This window comes from Homo sapiens, chromosome 1 (assembly GCF_000001405.40).
Source record: "Homo sapiens chromosome 1, GRCh38.p14 Primary Assembly".
Taxonomy (NCBI): Eukaryota; Metazoa; Chordata; class Mammalia; order Primates; family Hominidae; genus Homo; species Homo sapiens.
In genome coordinates this window covers 95,117,783-95,141,920 of record NC_000001.11, presented here as the reverse complement: position 1 = coordinate 95,141,920, position 24,138 = coordinate 95,117,783, and the positions used below count along the sequence as shown (strand labels likewise).

The window sequence follows — 24,138 nt, the reverse complement described above, 5'->3', positions numbered from 1 at the left end:
ACCAGGATATCGTAATAAGAATCAATCTCCCACAGGGCCCCTTCCATCAGAATTCATATGTCTATAATGAATTCTTTCCTCATTCTTTGTGTGTGTGTGTGTGTGTGTGTGTGTGTGTGTGTGTGTGTACTTGGTAAAAATATTGATATTACAATTCTTCTCTATGAGACTCCATTAACTTTACTGCTCTTTTACTTCTTTTTAATTCAACATATGTTTATTGGGTATTAAAATTTTAATTTGTGGTCTTTTAGCCTAGGTTTAATATTAACCAAACAATACATAAAAGTTTTGTACATAAATTAAGCATTACCATAATTTGCTAAGTGGGATGTAAGGAGAATAATGCTTTTCTAAGATTAAAGCAAATAGGTATCTGGAGGCCAGATGGACACAAAATTGGAAAAAAAATATAATCAGTAATCAGAAGAGAATGGAGAATCTAATCTTAAATGTGAGGAGGTTTCCCCTGAAGACTTTCGTATGCTCTCTGCTGATCCTAGAGCAGAAGGTGGGCACGGGCTGCTCATTTAGTTTGTTAAAATTCAATGTATACAAAGCATTTATTTCATGAATGTTAAAAGGTGTCATAAAACATATCATACCTTATCCATTTTATGAATTGTTCATTTAACTACTGTATTTAAAAGCACTCAAACAATTCACCATTAAAAAATGTATCATCCCACCCTCGCCCAAAAATCGAGTTTTTAAGTCTTTGTTCTAATGGATGAATATTATATTTTGAACAGAATTATTATCAGGTAAGACTTTGGGATATATGTTTAGAGTCTCCCTTTGGAAAAATGTTTCATTTAAAACTAAATAAAGAGCTCCATATATTCAAGCTGTGACTTCCATTAAAAGCTCAACAGATAGAAGCCAATTAAATTGTTCTACTCTCAGCTTTGCCTCTTAGTGAACAGCTGCTTGCTTAATCAGTCATGCCAAATCAAGAACTAATCTAGAGATCTTTACAAATTTCCCCAGAAAACCAAGGCTTCTGGTAGGAAGCAGCTACCCCTGTTCATTCACTTTAATGCATGAATCAGGCAAGAAAAATGGTAAAAAGTGATAAAACCAAAGGATGCTCATTACTAACATATGTTAAGGGCCTGCAAGAGTTTGGTGATTATTAAGTATAGGAATATACAGTAAAACTGGAAAAGCACACCTACTTCATATACCTCTACAGGTAGCTAGTAGCTGGCAGAAAGCTGGGATACTATTTGGCCTAGCGAAGAGCAGCTGAAACAGATAAGGGAAATACTTCTGTAGCAATTTACAAGAGCGTCTAGACATGAACTCTACATTATAATTAGTCCATCTTGATTCACAGGAATTGTGGACATCAAAGAAACTTTTCCAGAGACCTGTTGAATGAAATAATGTTTATACTTTTCATTAAAGATGGTTTACATAAACTTTAATTGACACTGATTTCTTAGTAGGGAAAAACATGAAAAGGTCTGAAGTACAGTCATGCACTGCATAACGATGTTTCAGTCAATGACAGACCACATATACAATGGTGGTCTCATAAGATTATAATGGAGCTGAAAATTCCTATCACCTAGAGACGCTGTAGCCATCATAACACCGCAGCGCAACACATTACTCACGTGTTTGAGGTGATGCTGGTGTAAATAAACCTACTGCACTGACGGTCATATAAAAGTCTAGCACATACAATTATGTGCAGTACATAATAGTTGACAATGATAATAAATGACTATGTTACTGGCTTAAGCATTTACTACACTATACTTTTTATCATGATTTTACAGTGTATTCCTTCTATTTATTAAAAAAAACCACACACACAATTAACTGTAAAACAGCCTCAGGAAAGTCCTTCAGGAGGCAGTCCAGAAGGAGGCATTGTTCTCATAGGAGATGACAGCTCCATGTGTGTTATTATCCCTGAAGACCTTCCAGTGGGACAAGATGTGGAGGTGGACGACAATGATATTGATGGTTCTGACAGACCTAGGCTAATGTGTGTGTCTGAGTCTTCGTTTTTAACAAAAAAGTAATAAAATAATAATAACATAATTGTAAAAATAGAAGAAAGCTTATAAAATAAGGATATAAAGAAAATCTTTTTCTACAGCCATACAATGGGTTTGTTTTCAGATAAGTGTTATTAAAAAGAATCAAAGGCTGGGTGCAGTGGCTCACGCCTGTAATCCCAGCACTTTGGCAGGCCGAGGCTGGTGGATCACCTGAGGTCAAGTGTTCGAGACCAGCCTGGTCAACATGGTGAAACCCCATCTCTACTAAATATGCAAAAAATTAGCCAGGCATGGTGGCACATGCCTGTAGTCTCACCAACTCAGGAGGCTGAGGCAGGAGAATCACTTGAACCTGGGAGACGGAGGCTGGAGTGAGCCAAGATCACGCCACTGCACTCCAGCCTAGGTGACAAGAATGAAACTGTCTCAAAAAAAAAAAAAAAAAAAAAATCAAAGGTTTAAATAAAAAAGTTTATAAAATAAAAAAGAAACTAAGCTAAGGTTAATTTATTGAAAAAAGAAATTTTTAAAATCAATTTAGTGTTGCCTAAGTGTACAGTGTTTATAAAGCCTACAGTAATGTTCAGTAATGTCCTAGCCCTCCACTTTCACTCACCACTCACTCAGTGATTCACCTAGAGCAACTTCTAGTCCTGCAAGCTCCATTCACAGTAATTGCTCCACAGAGGTGGTGTAACATTTTTTATCTTTTTTTTTTTTTTTTTTTTTTTGACACAGGTTCTCACTCTGTCATCCAGGCTGGAGTGCAGTGGCACAATCATAGCTCACTATAACCTCAAACTTCTAGGCTCAAGTGATCCTCCCGCCTCAGCCTCCCACATAGCCACCACACCCAGCTCATTTTTTTTTTTTTTTTTTTTGTAGAGACTGGGTCTCACTATGTTGCCCAGGATGGTCTCAAAGTCCTGGCCTCAAGTGATCCTCCCACCTCAGCCTCCCAAACCACTGGGATTACAGGTATGAGCCACCATGCCTAGTCCAATTTTTAATCTTTTATACTACATTTTTTAACTGTACCTTTTCTATGTTTAGATACACAAATACTTGGCATTGTGTAGCATCTGTCTACACCATGTATTCAGTACAGTAAATACTATACAATGTAGAATTTAGATACACAAATACTTGGCATTGTGTAGCATCTGTCTACACCATGTATTCAGTACAGTAAATACTATACAATGTAGTATTTAGATACACAAATACTTGGCATTGTGTAGCATCTGCCTACACAATGTATTCAGTACAGTACTGTACTGTATTCAGTACAGTAAATGCTGTACAGGTTTGTAGCCTAGGAGCAACAGGTTATGTCATAAAGCCTAGGTGTGTGGTAGGCTATTCCATCTAGGTTTGTGTTAAGTGCACTCTATGATGTTCACACAATGATAAAATTGTGTTAAGGACACATTTCTTAGAATGTATCCCCATTGTTAAGCAATGCATGACTGTACATGTCTTAACTATCAGCTATGAGAGCACTTCCCTTCCAGCAGGAGGACTCCCAGAGATAGGGCCCTGGGAAACAGCACTGCCAGGGCTAATTCAGTCTTCACATCAAAAAACAGTCCATCCATCTGTCTCTGGTCCACCATGAGCCAGGCACTGTGCTGGAATACAAAATAGGGAGACATGCTTATAGCCAGTAGGGATACAAAGAAATTGATCCTCACCACACAAAGTGGTAAGTGTAGGGTGCTAAGAGAATGCTCCCTGCTTTCCAAGGAATAAATACCCAGGAGAGGTAACACATAATAGTGAGGAGGTATCCAAAAGTAAACCAAGAGGACATTTTCTCTTCTATTAAAATCCCAATAAGATGCTTTTAGGCTGGAGCCCAAAAGACTCAGTTCTCAGTCGGGCTCATGCCTGTAATTCCAGCACTTTAGGAGGCCCAGGTAGGAGGACTGCTTCAGGCCAGGAGTTCAAGACCAGCCTGGACAACATTAACAAGACCCCGTCTCTACAAAAAATAGAAAAATTAGCTGGGTGTAGTAGCACATTCCTGTAGTCCCCACTACTCAGGAGGCAGAGATGGGAGGATCACTTGAGCCCAGGAGATGGAGGCTACAGTGAGTTATGATTGTGTACCAGGGCACTCAGGCCTGGGTGACCGTGCAAGACGCTGTTTCAGAAAAAAAGAGAAGGAAGAAAGGGAGGGAGGGAGGGAAAGAGAAAAGAAGAGGAGGAGGAAAGAAGGACAGAGAGGAAGAAGGAAGAGGGGATGAGGGGAAGAAGGGGCAATTTTAAAGGAAATTGACTTTAGAAAAAACAGACTCAGTTCTAGTAGGTGAGGTTAGGATTACCAGCCCCTCCCCACCAAAACACGATCACTCACTCATTTCCCCCATTTGTGATTCCTTTGCAAATACAGGGATTCCTTAGAGAATATATCAAATACCAGTGCCACTTCCATGCACATACATAACCCCTCTCCTTCATTTTCTGATATAATCCCCCAGTGAGAACCACTGCTGGAGTGTTTTGCAGTAAAAATCCCTAAAAAGAAGGGGATGGGTCTGTGTGTTTGTCTTTAAGGGCAGCAAAGAAGGGGGAAGCTGGGAAGAATGCCCCAATTATGCTTAGCATTCCTTTTCCCATCCCTGGCAAGCTCCCTTTCCTATTTCCCACATTGACTCCAAATATTCACCGCTCTCAAATCTCTAGTTCTCCCTCTTAAAATAGATGAGGTTTCTTCCCATTTGACCAAGAAAATGAAGGCGATCAGGCATAAACACCTTTAACTTGGCAATGTTTACTACCTCCCCCCAACCCCCACTACCTGAACCTCTTCTCTGCATACTATAGGTTCTGCCTGGCTATGCGCCCTGCACCTCCAACACTGCTTATACTGTGTGCAACTAGATTTCACCACCCGCCATGTACCAGCCCTGAATGGTCAGCCACCCTCTGGATGGGCTCCATTTGTGCATCCAGAGGCCCCACAGGTTCTACTTCGCCCAAGTTGAACTTAACCCCAACCAGCCCTTCTCTGTGGTGCCATACCTCAATGAATGACATGGACATCCACAATACTGCCCCATCTTCCAACCTGGAACAGCTCAGTCATCCTGGATTCCTTCCTATACCTTACCTCCACAAATAACTGACCAACAAATCCTGGTAGATTGGAGAATACCAAGTGAAGGATACCTTGATCCCAGCAAAGTTCTGAAAGTTTCTCATGATAGCCTTATGAAAAATACCAAAAAAAGTGGCTAGATCAACAAAGTTAGTGAGCCCAAGAGCTAGCTGAAAACTAGAAGCAGCATGTAAATTAATGATCCAAAGTAGAATTGAGAAATATCTCTTGATATTTTATACAATTTTCTCTTTTTTGGTCCTGTTTTAGCAAATATTTTTTGTAAATATTTGTATGTTTACTTAAGCTGCATACAACACAGAGGTGGGAAAGACAGCTAATACATTAAGTTAACAGAATCAGGTTTTGAAATTATCTTGATTAGCTGAAATAATGAATCCAAATCATAAAGGCAAAATATAATAAAATTTTTAAAGGCAATACCAAAGTATAGGACTTGGCATAATAGCCATACACACAAGACCTTAGCATTGTAAGTGACACAAATCAATGAAAGACAACAGTATAACAACAATACTAAACACACACAAAAAAAAACAAATTTCAGGCTCATTTATACTCAGAAAGAGTGGAAGTGCATCTTTTGATCAAGCATCAGTCCCATATACTCCCAATTAATTACATACCAAAGTACCCTTAGAGTGGTGTAAAGATGGTAATCTTATCATGTCATAAAGAGCTAAGAGGCTGAGTAATGTTAGCTTGGGAACAAGATTTCTTAAAAAAAAATAAAAAAAAAAAACTTGAAAACTTGAGAGCAGGCCAGGCTCAGTGGGTCATGCCTGTAATCCCAGCACTTTGGGAGGTCAAGGCCAGCGGATCACCTGAGCCCAAGAGTTCAAGACCAGCCTTTTGCAACATGGTGAAACCCCATCTCTACAAAAAAAATACAAAAATTAACCAGGTGTGGTGGTGCACACCTGTAATCCCAGCTACCAGGAGGCTGAGGTGGGAGAATCACTTGAGCCCAGGAGGCGGAGATCACATTACTGCATTCCAGCCTGGGTGACAGAATGAGACCCTGTCTCAAAAACAAAACAAAACGAACTTGAGAGCATTCCTTGAACATTTAAAGAAGTGTTGTGGCTGGGCATGGTAGCTCACACCTGTAATCTCAGCACTTTCGGAGGCCAAGGCGGGTGGATCACTTGAGGTCAGGAGTTCAAGACCAACCTAGCCAACATGGTGAAATCCCATCTCTACTAAAAATACAAAAATTAGCCGGGCGTGGTGGTATGCGGCTGTTGTCCCAGCTACTTGAGGGGGCTAAGGCACAAGAATCACCTGAACCTGAAAGACGGAGGTTGCAATAAGCTGAGATCATGCCACTGTACTCCAGCCTGGGCGACAGAGGAAGACTCTGTCTCAAAAAAAAAAAAAAAAAAAGTGTACAAAAAAATGAGACCAGGAACTTATTCTGCATTACTCAAAATGACACAAGTGGGCAGTTTAACTTAACCACCCTCTAGCCCTTTAGAAGTGTCCAAGTGTCTATCATGGAAGTGGTAAAAGAAGAGCTGGGAGGGTTGTCTGCAGAAGGCAGGGGCCCTAGTCTAACTTTCAGAGGACTCTGCAAACAAGATTTGGGGTCTAAAATTGAATTTAATTTTGGTATTCAGAAAGACAATTCCTATTACATTAACTTCTCAACAGTCTATCAGATATGTTAAAAATAATAATTTCACAGGGAAGGAAATGTTAAGTATATACACCATCATGGGAGGTACACAGGCACAAAGTCTTGATTTTGAGTCTCAGTTCTACCATTTGCTAGCTGCGTAGCCTTAGAAAAATTACTAAACTTACCTTAACAGAACCTCAGTTTCCTCATCTGTAAGACAGAAATATCAACAGTACTAGCCTGGCATGGTTGTAATAGGAAATAAATGATATAATGTTTCTTGGGCACTTAGAACAGTACTCAGCATATGGTGTGCACCTAGTCTCTGCTTCTACCATCATCCACCTCCAGCAGCACACAGGACATACAATCTCTGGGCCTGTTGTCACTCTAGTCAAGGAAAATAAAACCATCCTACAGCCACCAGGTCTAGACCCCTAACTCATGCCTGTTTTCATCAGGCAACACTTAAAATGTAGGCAGTGCCCACTGCAGAGATCTATCCTCTACCACTTGAGTACCGCTGTTTTGCTTCCAAGTTCCTTCCCAGCCCATCACCCTCTCCACCTCCCACAACCTTCCTCTAGGTCCCTTGGAACTGCTGCTCTACACCCAGAAAGTAGTGTCATATCCTTGGCCTCTCCTCTGAGCATGCTGAAGACACCCCTCTTCTCCTGCAACCCTCTCAAATAGCAGCTGCCCAGCCTCTCACACTCTGGAGTCAGGAGATGGCCTTGGCACCTCTGCCCCTTCAGGCCTTATTTCTCCATTCCCCTGCCCACTGCAAACACCCATATCCTTTTTAGGGTCCTGCCATTCAGTTACACCACCCTCCTCCTTTCCTCACTGTTATATTCTAATCTCCCAATCACTTTTGCTTACTCAAAGACATTAGCCCTGGCTCACTGATGTCGTCAAGCCCTGCCATATTCCTGCCCATTTGTTGGCTCGCATCTCCTAGACGACTCAGTCCATTATCTTCACCTGGAATGGCATGTCTTCCATGCCACCTTACCCACCCATGAACCTTTATTGTCCCCTATACATCGTTTTCTGCCTCGAAAATAACGCTTCAAGTATTCCCTTTGTTGACCAGGGCCTTCTTTCCTTCAAGCTGTGCAGTATTACAACATTATCAGTCCACTGACCTCTCAGCTTTTTCCCAACCCATTAGCCCTATTCTGCTTGTACATCCCTCTTTAATCAGCTTACATCCCAAAGTCCATCATTTCCACAGCACTCTAACACCCAAATTCCCTTTCCATTGCCAAGAGTTGACAAAATCCTAATCCTGGATATGCCCAACTATTTACTCAGCAATGAGTCCAGAACAATCAGAGCTCTGTTGCAGAATGTCACACATGAGAAGGTTGAAGCCAGTGTGTGAGAATTACAGAGGGATCAGACAGCCCTCAACACTGCCCTCCACTCCAACCATTTGCCACTCCAACCAACCCTCTCAGAGTCCACAATAAAATTCCCAAATTGTCCCTATTCTTTTCAAAACACCATCCATCTACCCCATTCTCAGCAGATGACCCCCATCCTACTTCACAAAAAAGTAGAAGCCAACATATGAAAACGTTCAATATCCCACACTACCAACTATACAAACTACCTCCATCTGTAACTATCTGTCTTCCCACCTAAGGTCAACCTCTCTAACTTGTGCACTTTAGATCCATCCTTTCTGGCCTTCTTGGGAATCTTTTGCTCCACATTATCCTTTACTCTCTCCCTCTCAAATGGCTCTTTCTATTGGCTCTTTTTTTTTTAATTATACTTTAAGTTTTAGGGTACATGTGCACAACGTGCAGGTTTGTTACATATGTATACATGTGCCATGTTGGTGTGCTGCACCCATTAACTCATCATTTAACATTAGGTATATCTGCTAATGCTATCCCTCCTCCGTCCCCCCACCCCACAACACATGGACACAGGAACGGGAACATCACACACCAGGGTCTATTGGCTCTTAAACAGGCTCAAGTTCTCAGCAAAAACAAAAATCAACAGATTTACAACCTCTTCTTCAATCCTCTCTTTCCATAAAGTTTCTCTCTCTTGCTTGAATTTTTACACTTGCGCTCTCTCTCTCTCCACTCCTTTACAGACAAAGTTCTAGAAATATTTGCCTGTATTCTGTCATCATTTCTCATCTGACACTTCACCACACTCCACTGTTGTCCCCATCCACATCACTCTCCTGGAATAGCTGTTGCTAAGGTTAACAATGACTGCTATGTGCAGCTTTCATGTTACCTGACCTCTCCACAACATCAGATCCTGACCATTTTCTCCTTGAAATGCTTTCTTCCTGTACTTCCATAACACCACACTTCCTCTACCCAGCTACTAAATAACAGAGTTCTTTAAGACTCCAGACCATCTTCTATCTACTTGTTTCCTATGTGATTTCACCTACACCTGTGGCTTCAGTTACCACTTAAACGTAGAAAAATCTAAAGTTTAAATATTCATCCTAGATCTCTCCTCTGAGCTAATGTATATAGCCTACTGCTACTTGATATTACTACACAGTGTCTCAAAGGCATCTCAAACCAAGCTCATAACCTGACCCCTACACTTGGTCCTCAGCTAGGTTCTTCATCTCAGTGAATGGTTATCACAAATATCCGAGTCGGTTTTGTGGTGCTGTAACAGAACATCTGAGACTACTTTTTTTTTTTTTTTTTTTTTTGAGTTGGAGTCTCACTCAGTCACCCAGGCTGGAGTGCAATGGTGCAATCTCGGCTCACTGCAACCTCCACCACCTGGGTTCAAGCGATTCTCGTGCCTCAGCCTCCAGCATAGCTGGGATTACAGACGTGTGCCACCACGCCTGGCTAATTTTTTTGTATTTTTAGTAGAAACAGGGTTTCACTATGTTGGTCGGGCTGGTCTCGAACTCCTGGCCTCTAGTGATCCACCCACCTTGGCCTTCCAAAGTGCTGGGATTACAGGTGTGAGCCACCACGCCCATCTGGGACTGTATAATTTATAAAGGAAAAATAGGTTTATTTAGCTCACAATTCTGCAAGTTGAGAAGTTCAAGGGCATGGCCCTGGCTTCTAGCAAAAACTTTTGTACTAAGTCATAACATAGTGGAGAAGGTCAAAGAGGGAAGCAGGTATGTGTAAAGAGACAAAACCTGGGTGGCGTCCCAGCTTTATAATAACCCACTCTCAAAGGAACTAATCCACTCTTGCCAGAATGAGAACTCACTACTATAAGAATGGCACCAAGCCACTCATGAGGGATCTGCCCCCAGGATTCTAACACCTCTCACTAGGCCCCACCTCCCAACATCAATACATTGCGAATCAAATTTCAACATGAGTTTTGATGGGGACAAACCATAGTCAACCTATTGCACCATACATTCAGATCTGACAGCCAGAAACCCAGGAGTCACCCTTGATAACCTGCTTTCTGCACCTTCCAACTCTGCCACCATATTCAATCTACCACCAAGTCCAATGGATTATACTTCTTAAATAACTATCAAAAAGATGCATTTTCTTCTCAAGCTACTATCATCACATTTCTGGACTGTCTCCAAACTGGTCTCCTTAGAGTGAAGAACAAATTGGAGGGCTCCAGGAGAATCTTTTCTAAAAGCCATCTCTGATCATGTCACTTCCTTACCCACCCTCATCTTAAAACCTTCATTTGTTTCTCAATGCTCTTACGAGGACTCCATCTTCTCCAGCCTCAGTTGGCACCTGCCCTCACTTACTGCATTCCAGCTAACATGGCCTTCTTTCTCTTCCTTAAAGATGCCATGTTCCCTTCTTCCACAAGGCCTGTGCACATCCTATTCCCTAACTCCCTTCCATACCCCTCTACTCCCAAGTTCACATCCATGGTTCTTCAGCTGTCTTCTCTGAGCTCTGTCAACAGGTTAATTCCCCCATTACCTGCCCTCATGCTGCATGTCCCTCTCCTTTACAGCTGCGACTTAAACAGACATTTCCTTCTCACAGTGGAATGTATGCCCCATAAGGGTGGGAAATACGGCATTTTTCCCTTCACCATTAAATCTCCATGCACAACACAATGTCTTCCATGTAATTTATGCTCAATAAATATGTTAAATAAAACAGTTATAATAACAGACATACTCTTACATGTGCTTTCCATTCTGCTAGTGTTATAGATTCCTTGTTTTACCAGGGTAATCACAATACTAGAAAAGGAATTTTCTGAACTGACAACCATAGTATTACCGCATGAAAGTATACTGACTTCAGAAGTATTCTCACCTCCAAATATGTCCAACAGCAAAAAGTACCATTATAAATGGAGTATATTTATCTACTGTAAGCTCCTTTTAACATGATATACATTCAAAAGTTTCATGTACAACCTGTAATTGTACTTTAACATTCTTATCAACTGCAGAAGTACTGATTTATTGACTTATTTACCACCACCAGTAGTCCTAACACTCTAGGATGTAAAAGTCTCTATCTGCAAACTCTAAGTCATTTGTAAATAAGCACATCACTGCAGAAGATGAGCTATTTACCAAGCCAAAGAAACAAATAAAAAACCCTGGCCAAAAAAGGCATACCATCCTACACCCATTCTGAGTTTTGTCTGCATTTTCATATAGGTGGTACACTGTAATTATCTATCTCAACATTGACAAAATGTCAAAAAATGACCAAAGACATTGAAATTTTAGTAAAGAATAACTGTCGGGCCGGGCACTGTGGCTCATGCCTGTGATCTCAGCACTTTGGGAGGCCGAGGCCAGTGGATCACAACATCAGGAGTTTGAAACCAGCCTGGCCAATATGGTAAAACCCCGTCTCTACCAAAAATACAAAAAATTAGCTGGGTATGGAGGCACGTGCCTGTAGTCCCAGCTGCTCGGAAGGCTGAGACAGGAGAATCCCTTGAACCTGGGAGGCGGAGGCTGCAGTGAGCCGAGATCGCACCACTGAACTCCAGCCTGGCAACAGAGCAAGATTCTGTCTCAAAAAAAAATAAATTAAATAAAATAAAGAAAAAGAATGTCAACTACTCATTTTCGACTTTTCCATCATGTAAAAATTGTTAAGCATCTAAAAGAATGTATATAAAGCTCTCAGCTAACTGCAGTTATAGTTTTTGCTTTTTGTTGTTTTAATTGTATGTGAAGAGACATATAGGGAAAAAGACTTAGGAGGATAATATGAAGAAAATGTTCCACCTCTTTTTCTTTTCTGAGCATCAAGTTAAAGAACCATTATCGTGAGTGTAAAAGTCTACAGGAAGCCAGCTGCATAAAAGTCAACCCAATTTCTATAAATCCTCTAATATTCATGGTACTGCTTTTTAAATTGAACCAAATGGGAGGAAAAGAAGACCAAGCTAGGAAAGGTGAAGAAGCCCTATGTTCATATAATTAAGTTACACTCCCTTTCTTGACACAGAATCTCACTCTGTTGCCCAGGCTGGAGTGCAATGGCACGATCTCGGTTCACTGCAACCTCTGCCTCCCAGGTTCAAGCTATTCTCGTGTCTCAGCCTCCTGAGTAGCTGGGATTACAGGTGCCCACCACCATACCCGGCTAATTTTTGTATTTTTAGTAGAGGCAGGGTTTCAACATGTTGGTCAGGTTGGTCTCGAACTCTTGACCTCAGATGACCCACTGGCCTTGGCCTCCCAAAGTGCTGGAATTACAGGCGTGAGCTACCGCGCCTGGCCTGTTACACTCCCTTTCAAAGATAAATGATATTACTTAAGGTTTAACAAGGAATTGCTCATGGCTATAGAAAAGATTTCTCTATGGTTCCTCCCTGTCGACTAAAATACTGAACTTTGAAAAAGGGTATCCTTTATATTTTTATTCTCTATTTCCTATTTCTTCAGCCCTTACTCCTCCAAGAGTACATAACAGAGTTCAAGTTAAAGAGAAACTGATCAATTCTGCCTGCTACAGACCCTGGCAACTGACACCTCCTTGAAACAATCTTTTTGGATTACAGATTGTTTTGATTATAACAAAGAACAAAATATTTAAGCTTAACTTTTCACACATTTCTAATAGACCTTTATTTTTCTCATAATTGTATATAATAATTACAACCACAGACATTAGATTAGGAAGGAGGCTAACCCCTGTTCTCTAAACTAAGCTCTGTGTCATCCACTCTCAGCAAAAAAGTATCCATACTCAAAGGCTGGGGGTGGCCCCACCTTGCTACCAAAGCTCAGAAAACCGATCTGACAGTTGAGTCACAACTCTGCTACACATTTCTTTAATCTAAGACTTTTCTTTTCCTGTCATAATCCTATCTTTCCTTGTACATCCTATACTAAATGCCTTCCAGGAATCTTTCTCTGATCCAATTAAGTGCCTTTAAAATGTTCATATCCCAGGCTCCCCTGCCACCCCCACCACACACACACATACAATTCTGCTTAGACTACAAAGTCTTCTCTACTTGTAGGAATTTCTATAGTTTGTTTTGCGGGAGCAAAAGAGTTCTGTTGATATAGATTTTTCAAACAACCGAGAGTCCCTACACCAAGATATTCTGACACAGCAAGGGTAGGAGGCTATCCCACCTCTTTAACCCCTCCCTGAAAATTCCTGCTGTTCCAAGAAATCATTTCTCCCACTGGTATCCACAACACCTAACTAGTTCTCCCTTCCATTATAGGTACAGTAATTTTAACTGGATTTTAACAAAACTTTTATTCCTATTTTCTTAGCTTACATTTACATGTTCTAGCTTTTAATTTAAAAATAAATTAAATCTGACATAATTCATCTATTTTGCATCAACTTTTTATCTTTTGTCTCATTTTAAATGTTTTATTTCATTTACATTTATTCCTTTACTTGGGGTTTGTTTTTATAATGCTTAACAAGCAGAATGAAGCCAAAAAGAAAAAGGCCTTCTCCATCTCTCCCTTCAGCTCCTCTGCTTCTCAACTCCAAACTTATTGAAGAATTCTACCCTTAGGAAATTCAGGTCATTTTCTAGGCCTTATGCCTCAGAGTACACATGTGATTTACGTGACAAATGTTGCTCCCTAGCATCTCACTCCACCGAAAACTTTTTTCGGTGTTACTCTTTCGCCCAGGCTAGAAAGTGGCACCATCTCGGCTCACTACAACCTCCATTTCCCAGGTTCAAGCAATTCTCTTGCCTCAGCCTCCCTAGTATCTGGGACTACAGACTCACTTAAAACTTTTATAAAGAAATCTTTGTTTTTCAACCTATGAGTTACAATTACAGCCATTGGATTTTGGATAAATCAGAATGCCTTCAGCCAGGAGACAATAGTAATTGGGAGGTCAAATTAATATAGTAGCTGGCACAAATAAAAAGTAACGGTTTTGAAGCTTATACAGCTTGAGAGCCCACCTTCAAGGAAATCAACATTTCAAACAAAACACTGGACTCCAGCCTTGGAAGAAGTCTATGCTAGGAAGAGTCCCTGAAGCTGAAGCAGAGACCAGGTGGCTCTCTACTGTCTGGGGAGACTCTTGGGAAAAAAGAGAGAGGTTCTACAGACTGCCTTTTCCACCTGGCATCTAATGTACTTATTTCCATATCACTGCTCTTCCCTTCCTGGAGGGATCACAAAAGGAGCTCTTGGCTTGGAACATCTCATGGCTTTTTGCCAACTCTGTGAACTCAAGGAAAACCTGGACAAAGCATGATTTTCCCCAAATATATTTTGTTCTTTTTTTAAAGGGATCACTCAGTCACCGCCAAGCTACCTAGGAAGTCAGAACCTATGGAGTCAGGGAAGTTCTTCTCACCTCCAAATCATGGATCTCATTAACCCTGGAAAGTCCTTAGGATAAGGGAAGTGGCTAAGGTAGGGCTTTGCCTGCTGCCTTCTTTTTTTCTTCTTGTGGCTGTTCCCCACAGGAAAGGAAGTGGTATTAAATGAGTTAGAGGGGCTGAAGAACAAGTTAGCATATGTCTCCCACTTGTTGGGTTCTTAAGATGAATGCCGCTCAGCTGGAGAGATACCTAGAGTCAAAGCCTAGTTCCAATACTTACCAAGTAGCCTCAGGCAAGAACAACACAACCTCTGTGACCTGCGGGTTCTTTAAAATGGGGATGAGAATGCCTAATGGCAAGATAGTTATGTGGCTTAAGTGAGATAATCTGTTAAATGCACCAAGCACAGTTCCTAGTACATGCAGTCACCTGTGGTAAACCATTTAGTGGCCATAAATTCCTTTGCAACAATGACACTGCCACGCCAGGCCCCCAATCCCGAGGTGGAGTCTATGTCTCTGCCCTGTGAACCTGGGCTGGCCTTGCCAACTGCTGACAAAGAGAATACAACAGAAGAGAGGCTTTGATGGTTCTAGAGCCTAGGTAGGACTTAAAAAACACTATCTTGGAAAATTGCCCTGAGACCATCATGTCAGGAGCCTGTCTAGTCTACCAGAGGATGGTAGATAGAGGCCACAATGAGAAAACTGAGGTTGCCCAGCTGACAGCCAACACTCAGTATCAACTACCAGCCATGCTGGCAAGCCATCTTGGATCCTTCAGCCCAGCTAACCCTTTAGCTGAAGGCACCCACTTGAGTGAACCTGTAACCAACACAGTAACTACCTAGCCAACCCACAGAATCACAGGAAATAATAAATCACTGTTTCAAGCTACTAGGGTCTATGGATGGTTTATTTGGCAACAGATTAAAAGACGACTCAATAAAGAATAGTTCTTGATATTACCAGCCTTTTTTTTTTTTTTTCTCCTGAGACAGAGTCTCGTTCTGTCACCTGGGCTGGAGTGCAGTGGAGTGATCTCGGCTCACTGCAACCTCTGCCTCCTGAGTTCAAGCAACTCTCCTGCCTCAGCCTCCCAAGCAGCTGGAACTACAGGCATGCACCACCATGCCTGGCTAATTTTTGTATTTTTTGGTGGAGATGGGGTTTTGTCATGTTGGCCAGGCTGGTCTTAAACTCCTGACCTCAAGTGATCCACTCACCTCAGCCTCCCAAAGTGCTGGGATTAGAGGCATGAGCCACTGCGCTTGGCCTCTTTTTTTTTTTTTAATAGTGATGGCGTCTCGCTATGTTGTCCAGGCTGGTCTCAAACTACTGAACACAAGTGATCCTCCTGCCTCAGACTCCCAAAGTGCTAGGATTAGAGGCATGAGCCACTGCACCTGGCCTCTTTTCCTTTTTTTTTTTTAATAGAGATGGCGTCTCATTATGTTGTCCAGGCTTGTCTCAAACTACTGAACTCAAGTGACCCTCCTGCCTCAGCCTCCCAAAGTGCTGGGATTGCAGGTCTGAGCCACTATGGCCGGAATACCAGCCCTTTCTTAAGCAAGAAATGTTACACCTATTTAATATTTCTCCAGTCATGCCAAATCATACAGGAATATTATATTCTATATTTGAAGGAATGTGATCATTTCCCTCTTGATTTAACCCTTGGCCTAAGGGCCCTGCAGCTTGTTTATACCTATGATCTGACCGGATAATTTGGTGGCCAAAATGAGAAGACAGCCAAGGAGTTTCTAAATTCTCTAGGTGGCCTTTTGTTACCTAAGGTCCACTCTACCCGAGGGCTAGTCTGAAGGTAGTGAGTTGTCTCCATTGATTGTTCACAGTTACAAATGGAACTCCTTGATCTACTCTTTCCCTCCTCCTCTTGACTAGTCTTAAAAGATAAAAATTCTACTCGAGCTACTTTGACAGTGGTTTCCTTTCTAAGCTCTTCCCATAAGATTGCCATTGCCTAAAACTGGTCCCAACTGCACTGTTTCCCAATAAACATGATACTTATCTACCTGATTCAGGTTTGATACTGCCAGACAGTCAAAAAATCTAGATATGGTGACATGTTTCCTTGAACTACTTCACAGCTTAGTAAGGTGATGTGCAAAACGAATCAGATGTGCCTTCATCACATCACAAACTTCAGGTAGCCTCAACCTCATGTTTAAATTCAGGTGTAGTAAGTCACATAAAAAAAACCTAAGCTTGGCCCACAGACTTGATAATGAAGAACTGTTTTAGGCCAACATTCCCAAGGCAAGAATTTGGTGAATGTGGTCATGGAAGTTCAGATCCAGATAACTCATGGGAAGTGAATTCTTCCTGGCTTTATGAAACAGGGTCAAGCTGACCCACCTGGTAGACCTCTAAGCCCTGATGACATTCTCACACTGTATAACCTATTAACAAGTTTAATCTTGAAGATGCTATCAAGACTTCTTAGAATGGTGGCTCTAATCCTTTCTAACTTACGGGATTGATTAAGTACCATCCTTGTTGTGTGGACCAAGTACAGGGTGGTGGTGTTTGTTGTTTTGTTTTTTTTTTAGAAAAATATTTTGCCCAGCCAGTGCTATAGTTCTATTAAGTTAATGCCATCTAAAACTTCCTCATTTCTGATTTCAAAAGTTACAGGCTTAGTATTCTGTAGGTTTTACTCATAGCAATTCCACTGAAATTGTATATTCTATACTACTTTGTGGAAAAATTATCCAGAAACAAGATCACATTGCTATTTTTCATTGCTCATGTGTCCCTTTAGGTCCTCTTAAAGCTATTTCTGGATTAAACCCATGAACCTACACCTCACCCTACTGACCTTTCACTGAGCAGTGCCATGGCATGATACCCCTGGCTAGCACTGGGCAACATGATATGAGATGGCATCGTAAGGCAAAGTCACTAGGTTTTACTGTAAGATACTGGGAAGGTTGTTCAGGATGTGGCCATTGCAAATATAGTGTTTTCTTAATGAAAACCCAAAGGAGAAAATTTTTCTCGCCTTCTGGAATCAGGAATAGGTGTGCTTCTCTGATTTGGTTTCTCTTCTGGACACCCTGAAGCTTGTTATAGATCATTTGCCTCTTCTCTTTGCTGCTGGAAAGCTTATAGCCAGAACTTTTAGTAAGGAAAGAACAGGACTTCGAAATACACTAACCAGCCTCACTTATACTTCCATCTTCTTTTCCTTCTTTATACTAAATATACTTTATCTTGTCATATCATATGCATCTTTGTAAAAAATCCCAAATCCTGTTTGAAACAAAGGGGAATATAAATAAAACTAAAGATACTATAGTCAATGTGCATGCCTAATCCCCCTATCAGAGAGTGACCTCTTGTAGGTAAGGAGGATGCATTGCCCCACCTTGAAATCCCCATAACATCTAACGCTGCGCTTTCACTGCTGAGTGAATATTTGGGGAATTAAATAGCAGAATATGTAAATGTTGATAACACTGTGTTACCCGAATTATAAAATAAGCAGTATGCCAATGAATTGGTCTTTTACCCTCAAAAATTCACACAAGTTTGAAAAGATATACAGTATTTATAAGAGTGTTTATCAAAACATTATTAGAAGTAACTTCAAGGTCCACCAATAGAAATATGGTTATATGTATACTATCACATGTTATTGACATTTAAATGAAAAAGGTGATAAAAGAAGCAAGCTGCAAAATAATAAATTTTTCAAAACTAAATAACTCTGGGCACATTTTGCCATTTGTAGAGAAAACGTCTGGAGGGCCTTACCCCCAAAACTGATAACTAGGTGTGTTTAGGAGTGAAACTAGCCAGGGTGGGAGCTGGAAGAGGAAGCAGAGGTGAATTTTCATTCTCTTAAATATTGATCATTTATAATTTTTTTGTAATGAGCTAGTTTTACTTTTGCAATTTAAAAAAACACTAAACATTTAGAGGCCTGTGACTATAAAGTGTTCTCAAATCTTCAAAATGCTAAATATGTCTTAAAGGTTTGGTTCTTTCTTCTGGCTCCAGGTGATCAAGCCTTCCTCTTGGCCTCACCCTTTCATCCTTATGTTGCCCTGGATTCCTCCACTTTTCCATAGGGCATGTAAGAAATTGATCTGTTTGGGAGCACTCACACAGGTTTAAAAAATATGAAAAGGGAAGGAAACCTCATTCTAAACAAAGCTGTAGTCTTTATAAGTCCTTACATGTAACAAATTACAAAGCATTTAATTAAATTCCTGTCTCAATATTTTTACATGTAATGGAGCAAAACATGTTAATTGAGCAAGACTAGTTTTAAGAATCATGTCCCGGGTTAGGCGCAGTGGCTCAGGCCTGTAATCCCAGCACTTTGGGATACCAAGGCAGGAGACTCACTTGAGCCCAGGAGTTCAAGACCAGCCTGGGGCAACACAGTGAGACCCTATTTCTCTTTTTAAAAAAAAAAAAATCATGTCCATAAAGTAACACTTTATAAAAAGAACTTGTAAATTTTTCAAACTTTTTCATCAAATGAAAATTCCTTCTTCCTCCCATTCCACTAAATACAGATATAGAGAGAAGTTTAATTTTTCAAAGATTTTTTCAGCCTATTTGGAGAAAACTAATTAAAATTAATTTGACCAAGAAAGTTTCTCCAGGTCCCCAAAATTTTAAAGTTAAATTAATAAATGCATAAACTCATCAATGTGCAGTTTTTCCTAGAGTTTGCCATGGCAGAATTCAATGAATAGTAACATGTCACAAGCCAGGACCCAGAATTGAGCTCCATGGAGTCAGGTGGACACCACAAGGCAGTTGGTGGGGGATAGGGGGAGAGTTGTCAGAGATAACAGAGAAACCAGAGTTGAAAGCATTAGATAAATACCAGACAGCTGAGGAAGGGTGAAGTCAAACACTGAAAACATCAACTAAGGTAAGAAAATCTGATAAGGCAGGGTCAGGTCAAGGGGAGGCTGCAACTAGGTCGGAATATCAATGATAAAAGCAAGCAGTCACTAAGCAACGTGCTGGGGTGAACTCTGATACCCGTGTACTTTTGTTTTGTTTTGTTTGTTTTGTTTTAGACAGAGTCCCACTCTATTGCCCAGGCTGGAGTGCAGTGACACAATCTCGGCTCACTACAACCTCTGCCCCCAGGTTCAAGCGATTCTCTGGCCTCAGCCTCCCGAATAGCTGGGACTACAGGCACATGCCACCATGTGTGGCTAATTTTTGTATTTTTTTCAATAGAGACGGCATTTCACCATGTGGGTGGGCCAGGCTGGTCGCAAACTCTTCACTTAGGTGATCTGCCCACCTCCACGCTGGGATTATAGGCGTGAGCCACCACGCCAGCCACCTGTGTACTTTTCCTCCAGGCTTTTCTTGCTGCTAGGAGTGTTCGGTGTTGTAACCAGATGTTGATAGTCATGAAAAGGAAATCAAAAGCCTACAGATTAACTACAGATTAAGACTCTGCCCTTGATTAACTCCAGGGCAAATACTGGAATTAACTCACAATTGCTGGTTGCCTCATCAGTTTCTCCAAGAAGCTGTTTAGATGACCCCCAAAGGCTACAAATGATGATTGGAATTTGATCACAGATCTATACTTCTAAGGAAGTCCTGACAGGCTAGCCCTTTTATAAAATGTAATAAGAATACTTTTCAGGCTGAGCACGGAGGCTCACGCCTGTAATCCCAACACTTTGGGAGGCTGAGTTGGGCGGATCACTTGAGGCCAGGAGTTGAGACCAGCCTGGCCAACACGGTGAAACCCCGTCTCTACCAAAAATACAAAAATTAGCCCGGGGTGGTGGCGGGTGCCTGTAATCCCAGCTACCTGGGAGGCTGAGGCAGGAGAATCACTTGAAGCCGGGAGGCGGAAGTTGCAGTGAGCCAAGACTGTGCCACTACACGCCAGCCTGGGTGACAAAGCGAGACCCTGTCTCAAAAAGAAAAAAAGAATACTTTTCAAATTCTCTGTGAGGCAAGCAGCCAACTTCCTAATGAGTTTGATCAGCAAATGGGGTTTCAAAACACATTCCATCCGCTGCTTCTGCTCCAACTTCTCAAAATTGTGAGGGGAGGTGTGAGCCTCCTACTCACCCTCCCTGCACTACTAGCCCCTCTGCTCCCTATCCGGCCATGAAAGTGGACATGACCTGAATTCATCAGCCAATTTGTTCTGGGTCCTTTTGTCTCCTCATTAAGCGTACAGACGAAAATCTTACTGCTCTAAAGAAATGTGCTTACATATCCAAGTTCACTCCTTGCACGTTTCCTTTTCCTTAAAGCCAATCATTTTGCTTTGAAGTAAGTAGAACTGGTGGAAAGTCCCCTCTTCTGCATCTGTCCCATCATTTCATCTATGTGAGTTCTGCACCTGTCAGACACAAGATGAGTCTCTACACTGCCTTCTCTCCCACCGACAGGGGTCCAGGTAGTGCTCAATCAATTCTATGCTCCCCACACCTCCTCCAGTATCTCCAATCCCCCTCCGCCCAGCCTGCTCCACTGCAACCTGTTTTTCTACCCATTGGAAAAGTGGTTTCCAAATAGTGGACTGTGATCCACTAACACGTTATGAGTTTTTAAGAACACAGACTAGAAACAGAAATTCAATAGAAATAGAAACTAGTTTCACATACACATATACTTGCTATGCCCTGGGTCTCAGTGTAAAAATGCATTTTGTACTGTTGTAGTCTGAAAATGTTTGAAACACTGCTTTAGACAAGCGTTTGTCCACCTACTCAAACTCCACCCATGATATTGGTCCCGCTGTCTGGGACTCCCTTCCTCCAGTGCTGGCTCAAGCTCTGAACAGCCTTCCACGTGTCTTCTTCGTTGGCTGTTTTCAAAAGCTTTGGCCTTTTACACCAGTTCAGAAGCTCCTTCTTATATATCCATTGCCTTCTCCGTGAACAGACCAATGTTCTGAACAAAGAAACACCTTTTGCTATTCCTGCCTTATCCTGCCTGATCAGGTCTGGGATCTGCTTGCAGCACATCCAACTGTCTCACCAGGAATAACAAGCCTCAGAGCAGTAGGCCTCCATTTCTTTGTGTGCAACCTTTCATCCTCAACAAGAAAAAATACCACTAAAGTCACTCTGGAAATACCTAGACTTTCTTACAAAATTAGCCTTACTTTCCTAATGTAATGTATTCTCTGGTGTAATCCATCCAGCGCCTGATACCAATGCCAGGTGAATACAGCTCATTCCTAATGTTCAGTTAAAGTCTGTTTCCCATCCTTGAGAACAGATGGTGACTCCACCTCCATACTGCTATCTTCTTCTTCTCTCAAGGCAAATGGAAGAAGAAAAAGCACAACAGGGTGACTGCACTAGTTTGGTGGTATCCTTTCCTCTCTCAAGGACGAGGGCACAAGTTGTCCAGCACAACTCCACCCCCAGTCTGGCCCTCCTTTGTCCAAATGCCCATAATTCTCACCCAGACAATTAATTCATTATCTTCCTTAACAGAAAAGCTAGCTTTTCATATCTTAGTGTAGACTGTTCAGTTTACTCTTCTCAGCCAAACTGAGTATCCCAGTTTGAGATATTGAAGCCCAAACAAATCCTTAATCTGTAGGATGTGGGACTAATTTGGAAAGAAGGGTGGGGAGAGACACTGAGGTCTAAAGAGTTTCTTACAAACTAAACTGCCCATTTTCCTCTAATACATGCAAGACCAGCTTTGAGAGAGGAACATGAACGCTGGGCCTCCTTTAGAGCACCAAAGAGGAGAGTAAACAGGTCTGAAAACTGTTAAGACAGCTGTGCTTGACTCTGAGGAGCCAGAAACACTCTCAAAGAGAAAGAGGGAGAAGGGCCCATCAAACCTCAGGTACATTCCCAAACCTGCCTAGAAGCTGTGCCACTTCCCTTTTGAAACCCAGCCCCTTTCCCATTTCTCAATTGGGAATCTAGGGATCCTTTACTTCCTACTAGTTATCTGGTTACAGGGAGGACTCTCCAACACCTACAAAGCCACTACTTCTTTCTCCCCAGTCTTTTGCAGGGAAGGCTCTTAATCAGTCTAACACTCAGATTTCTGATAGCTCCCTGCTCATAAGACTTCCCTTGGCAATCAGATGAATTTACCCAGTGGAGATTTCAGAAAATCAAGGAAAAGACAGGCCAACTCTTGCATCTGTACTCCAGGACCTATTCAGAAGACTCCAGTGAAGACCTAGCTTCCCTGGGGTTTGCATTAGTCTCAGCACCTTGAGCATGCCATTCCTAGTTCACCTCCAAGTATAAAGCATTAGTAGCAAAGACCCATTATTCTTTCCACCAGGGTAAAGAAGGCTTAGAGTGAAATGAATATAAATGGAAATCTAATACTGTAAATAAATAATGACTGATTGGGCAGCTGGGTCAGAGGCATCCAGCCTAAACAGATAAAATTCATCTCAAGGATGAGGACAGTAAAGATTCAAACTCCAGAGGGAGGTAATGGGACAAAAGGAGTTGCAGGCGTAGAAAAAAAAAGAAGCACCCTCAAAATATTCTCTGGGTTATCAGATGGCACAGGAGGGGCGTGGCAAATAAACTAAAATCCATGGTTCTTCACCCATTCTTTCATATTTTCTAACACGGCGGGAATACACTTTTCTAATTTCGTTTCGCCCAATTTAAGGAAAAGATAAGCAAGGATAAAAATTCCTCATATATAGCACAATTAAAAGGGAGCTGGGATTCTCTAACTTATTACCTTAATCGGCTACACAAAGATGAAGCTACATTTCAATCGACACCATGCGCTGGCACGGGAGTAACTCACTTAAAACACCACAATCCAAGGTCAATTTTTCTCAACTCCATTTATGACTGCGTAAAGATTTTATTAAATCTTTTTTCCTATTTCACACATCAATTCCTAGGGTCCACACAAACTCTTCCATCTTCTCCAAACTGGTATTTGGATTAAACATTATCCAAGATCAGTCTTTAAAGTAAATTTCATAATTTCATATAAAAGTGTGCACCACATTAACACTCAAATGTGTGTACAATTAAAAATATACAGACCAGCAACAGCGACTCTTAAATGAATTTAGACTCAAAGTGTTTTCACAGAGGTTTTTCTGCCGTCTTGGAGGGGTAGGAAACTGCTGGCATTACGAATCCCATTTCATGGCTGGGTAAACCGAGGCACTTAGGGGTTACAGAGGTAAAGATGGAAATAGAAACCAATTTCTCCCTCCGACTCTACGCCTGGTCCCTTCCCACTAGACTTTTCAGCACTCAGTGGCTAAAAATGGGACCCACTTGAGAACTGCAAGGGTAAATAAGAGCTACTTGTTTCAGAAGGTGGCGGCGGGGGAGGGGGACTTACCCACTTGATGCGCCCGATTGTGTGTGGGCTCTAACAAGAAAGCTCTCCCTGGATGCCCAAAGGTTTGCACCCACCCGCTTTAAGCTCAGACCCGAGAGGCACCGCCAGGCAGACAGGGCAGCCGGAATCGTGCAGCCCGAGAAACGCGAGAGGAATGCGGGGCGCCCGGGCGGCGCGGGGGCCGCGGGCCCCGGGACACCATTTGCTCCCGGAGCGACGCCGTGGCCCGCCGGGCGGGGACGATGCTGAGCCTTCCGCACACACCTGCCGGAGCCCGCCCGGGAGCCCCGGGCCGCCTCCCGCGCGCCG

General features: G+C 41.9%; 2 protein-coding genes across 3 annotated transcripts in view, besides 4 other annotated features; both read right to left on the bottom strand.

Moving 5' to 3' along the window:
* The window catches only part of TLCD4-RWDD3 (TLCD4-RWDD3 readthrough), a 127,033-nt gene extending 103,035 nt beyond the window's left edge, over positions 1-23,998 (bottom strand). The window contains 1 exon segment of the mRNA NM_001199691.1: positions 23,830-23,998. The gene's annotated coding sequence lies outside the window, so the exon portion shown is untranslated.
* Positions 1-24,138, bottom strand: part of TLCD4 (TLC domain containing 4) — a 105,091-nt gene that overhangs the window by 55,687 nt on the left and 25,266 nt on the right. The window lies entirely within an intron of this gene.
* Positions 4,917-5,109: a silencer, noted in NCBI's record as "fragment chr1:95602368-95602560 (GRCh37/hg19 assembly coordinates)". NCBI's record gives its function as "represses an EF-1alpha promoter that drives an FKBP-Casp9 reporter gene in an ReSE screen in HepG2 liver carcinoma cells {active_cell/tissue: HepG2}" and the evidence as "EXISTENCE:reporter gene assay evidence [ECO:0000049][PMID:32094911]".
* Positions 5,664-6,164: an enhancer, noted in NCBI's record as "H3K4me1 hESC enhancer chr1:95601313-95601813 (GRCh37/hg19 assembly coordinates)". NCBI's record gives its function as "activates a minimal SCP1, AML or CMV promoter by ChIP-STARR-seq in primed H9 embryonic stem cells {active_cell/tissue: H9 hESC(primed)}" and the evidence as "EXISTENCE:reporter gene assay evidence [ECO:0000049][PMID:30033119]".
* Positions 6,165-6,665: an enhancer, noted in NCBI's record as "H3K4me1 hESC enhancer chr1:95600812-95601312 (GRCh37/hg19 assembly coordinates)". NCBI's record gives its function as "activates a minimal SCP1, AML or CMV promoter by ChIP-STARR-seq in primed H9 embryonic stem cells {active_cell/tissue: H9 hESC(primed)}" and the evidence as "EXISTENCE:reporter gene assay evidence [ECO:0000049][PMID:30033119]".
* Positions 24,076-24,125: a silencer, noted in NCBI's record as "silent region_1104". NCBI's record gives its function as "represses an Ori minimal core promoter by ATAC-STARR-seq in GM12878 lymphoblastoid cells {active_cell/tissue: GM12878}" and the evidence as "EXISTENCE:reporter gene assay evidence [ECO:0000049][PMID:35858748]".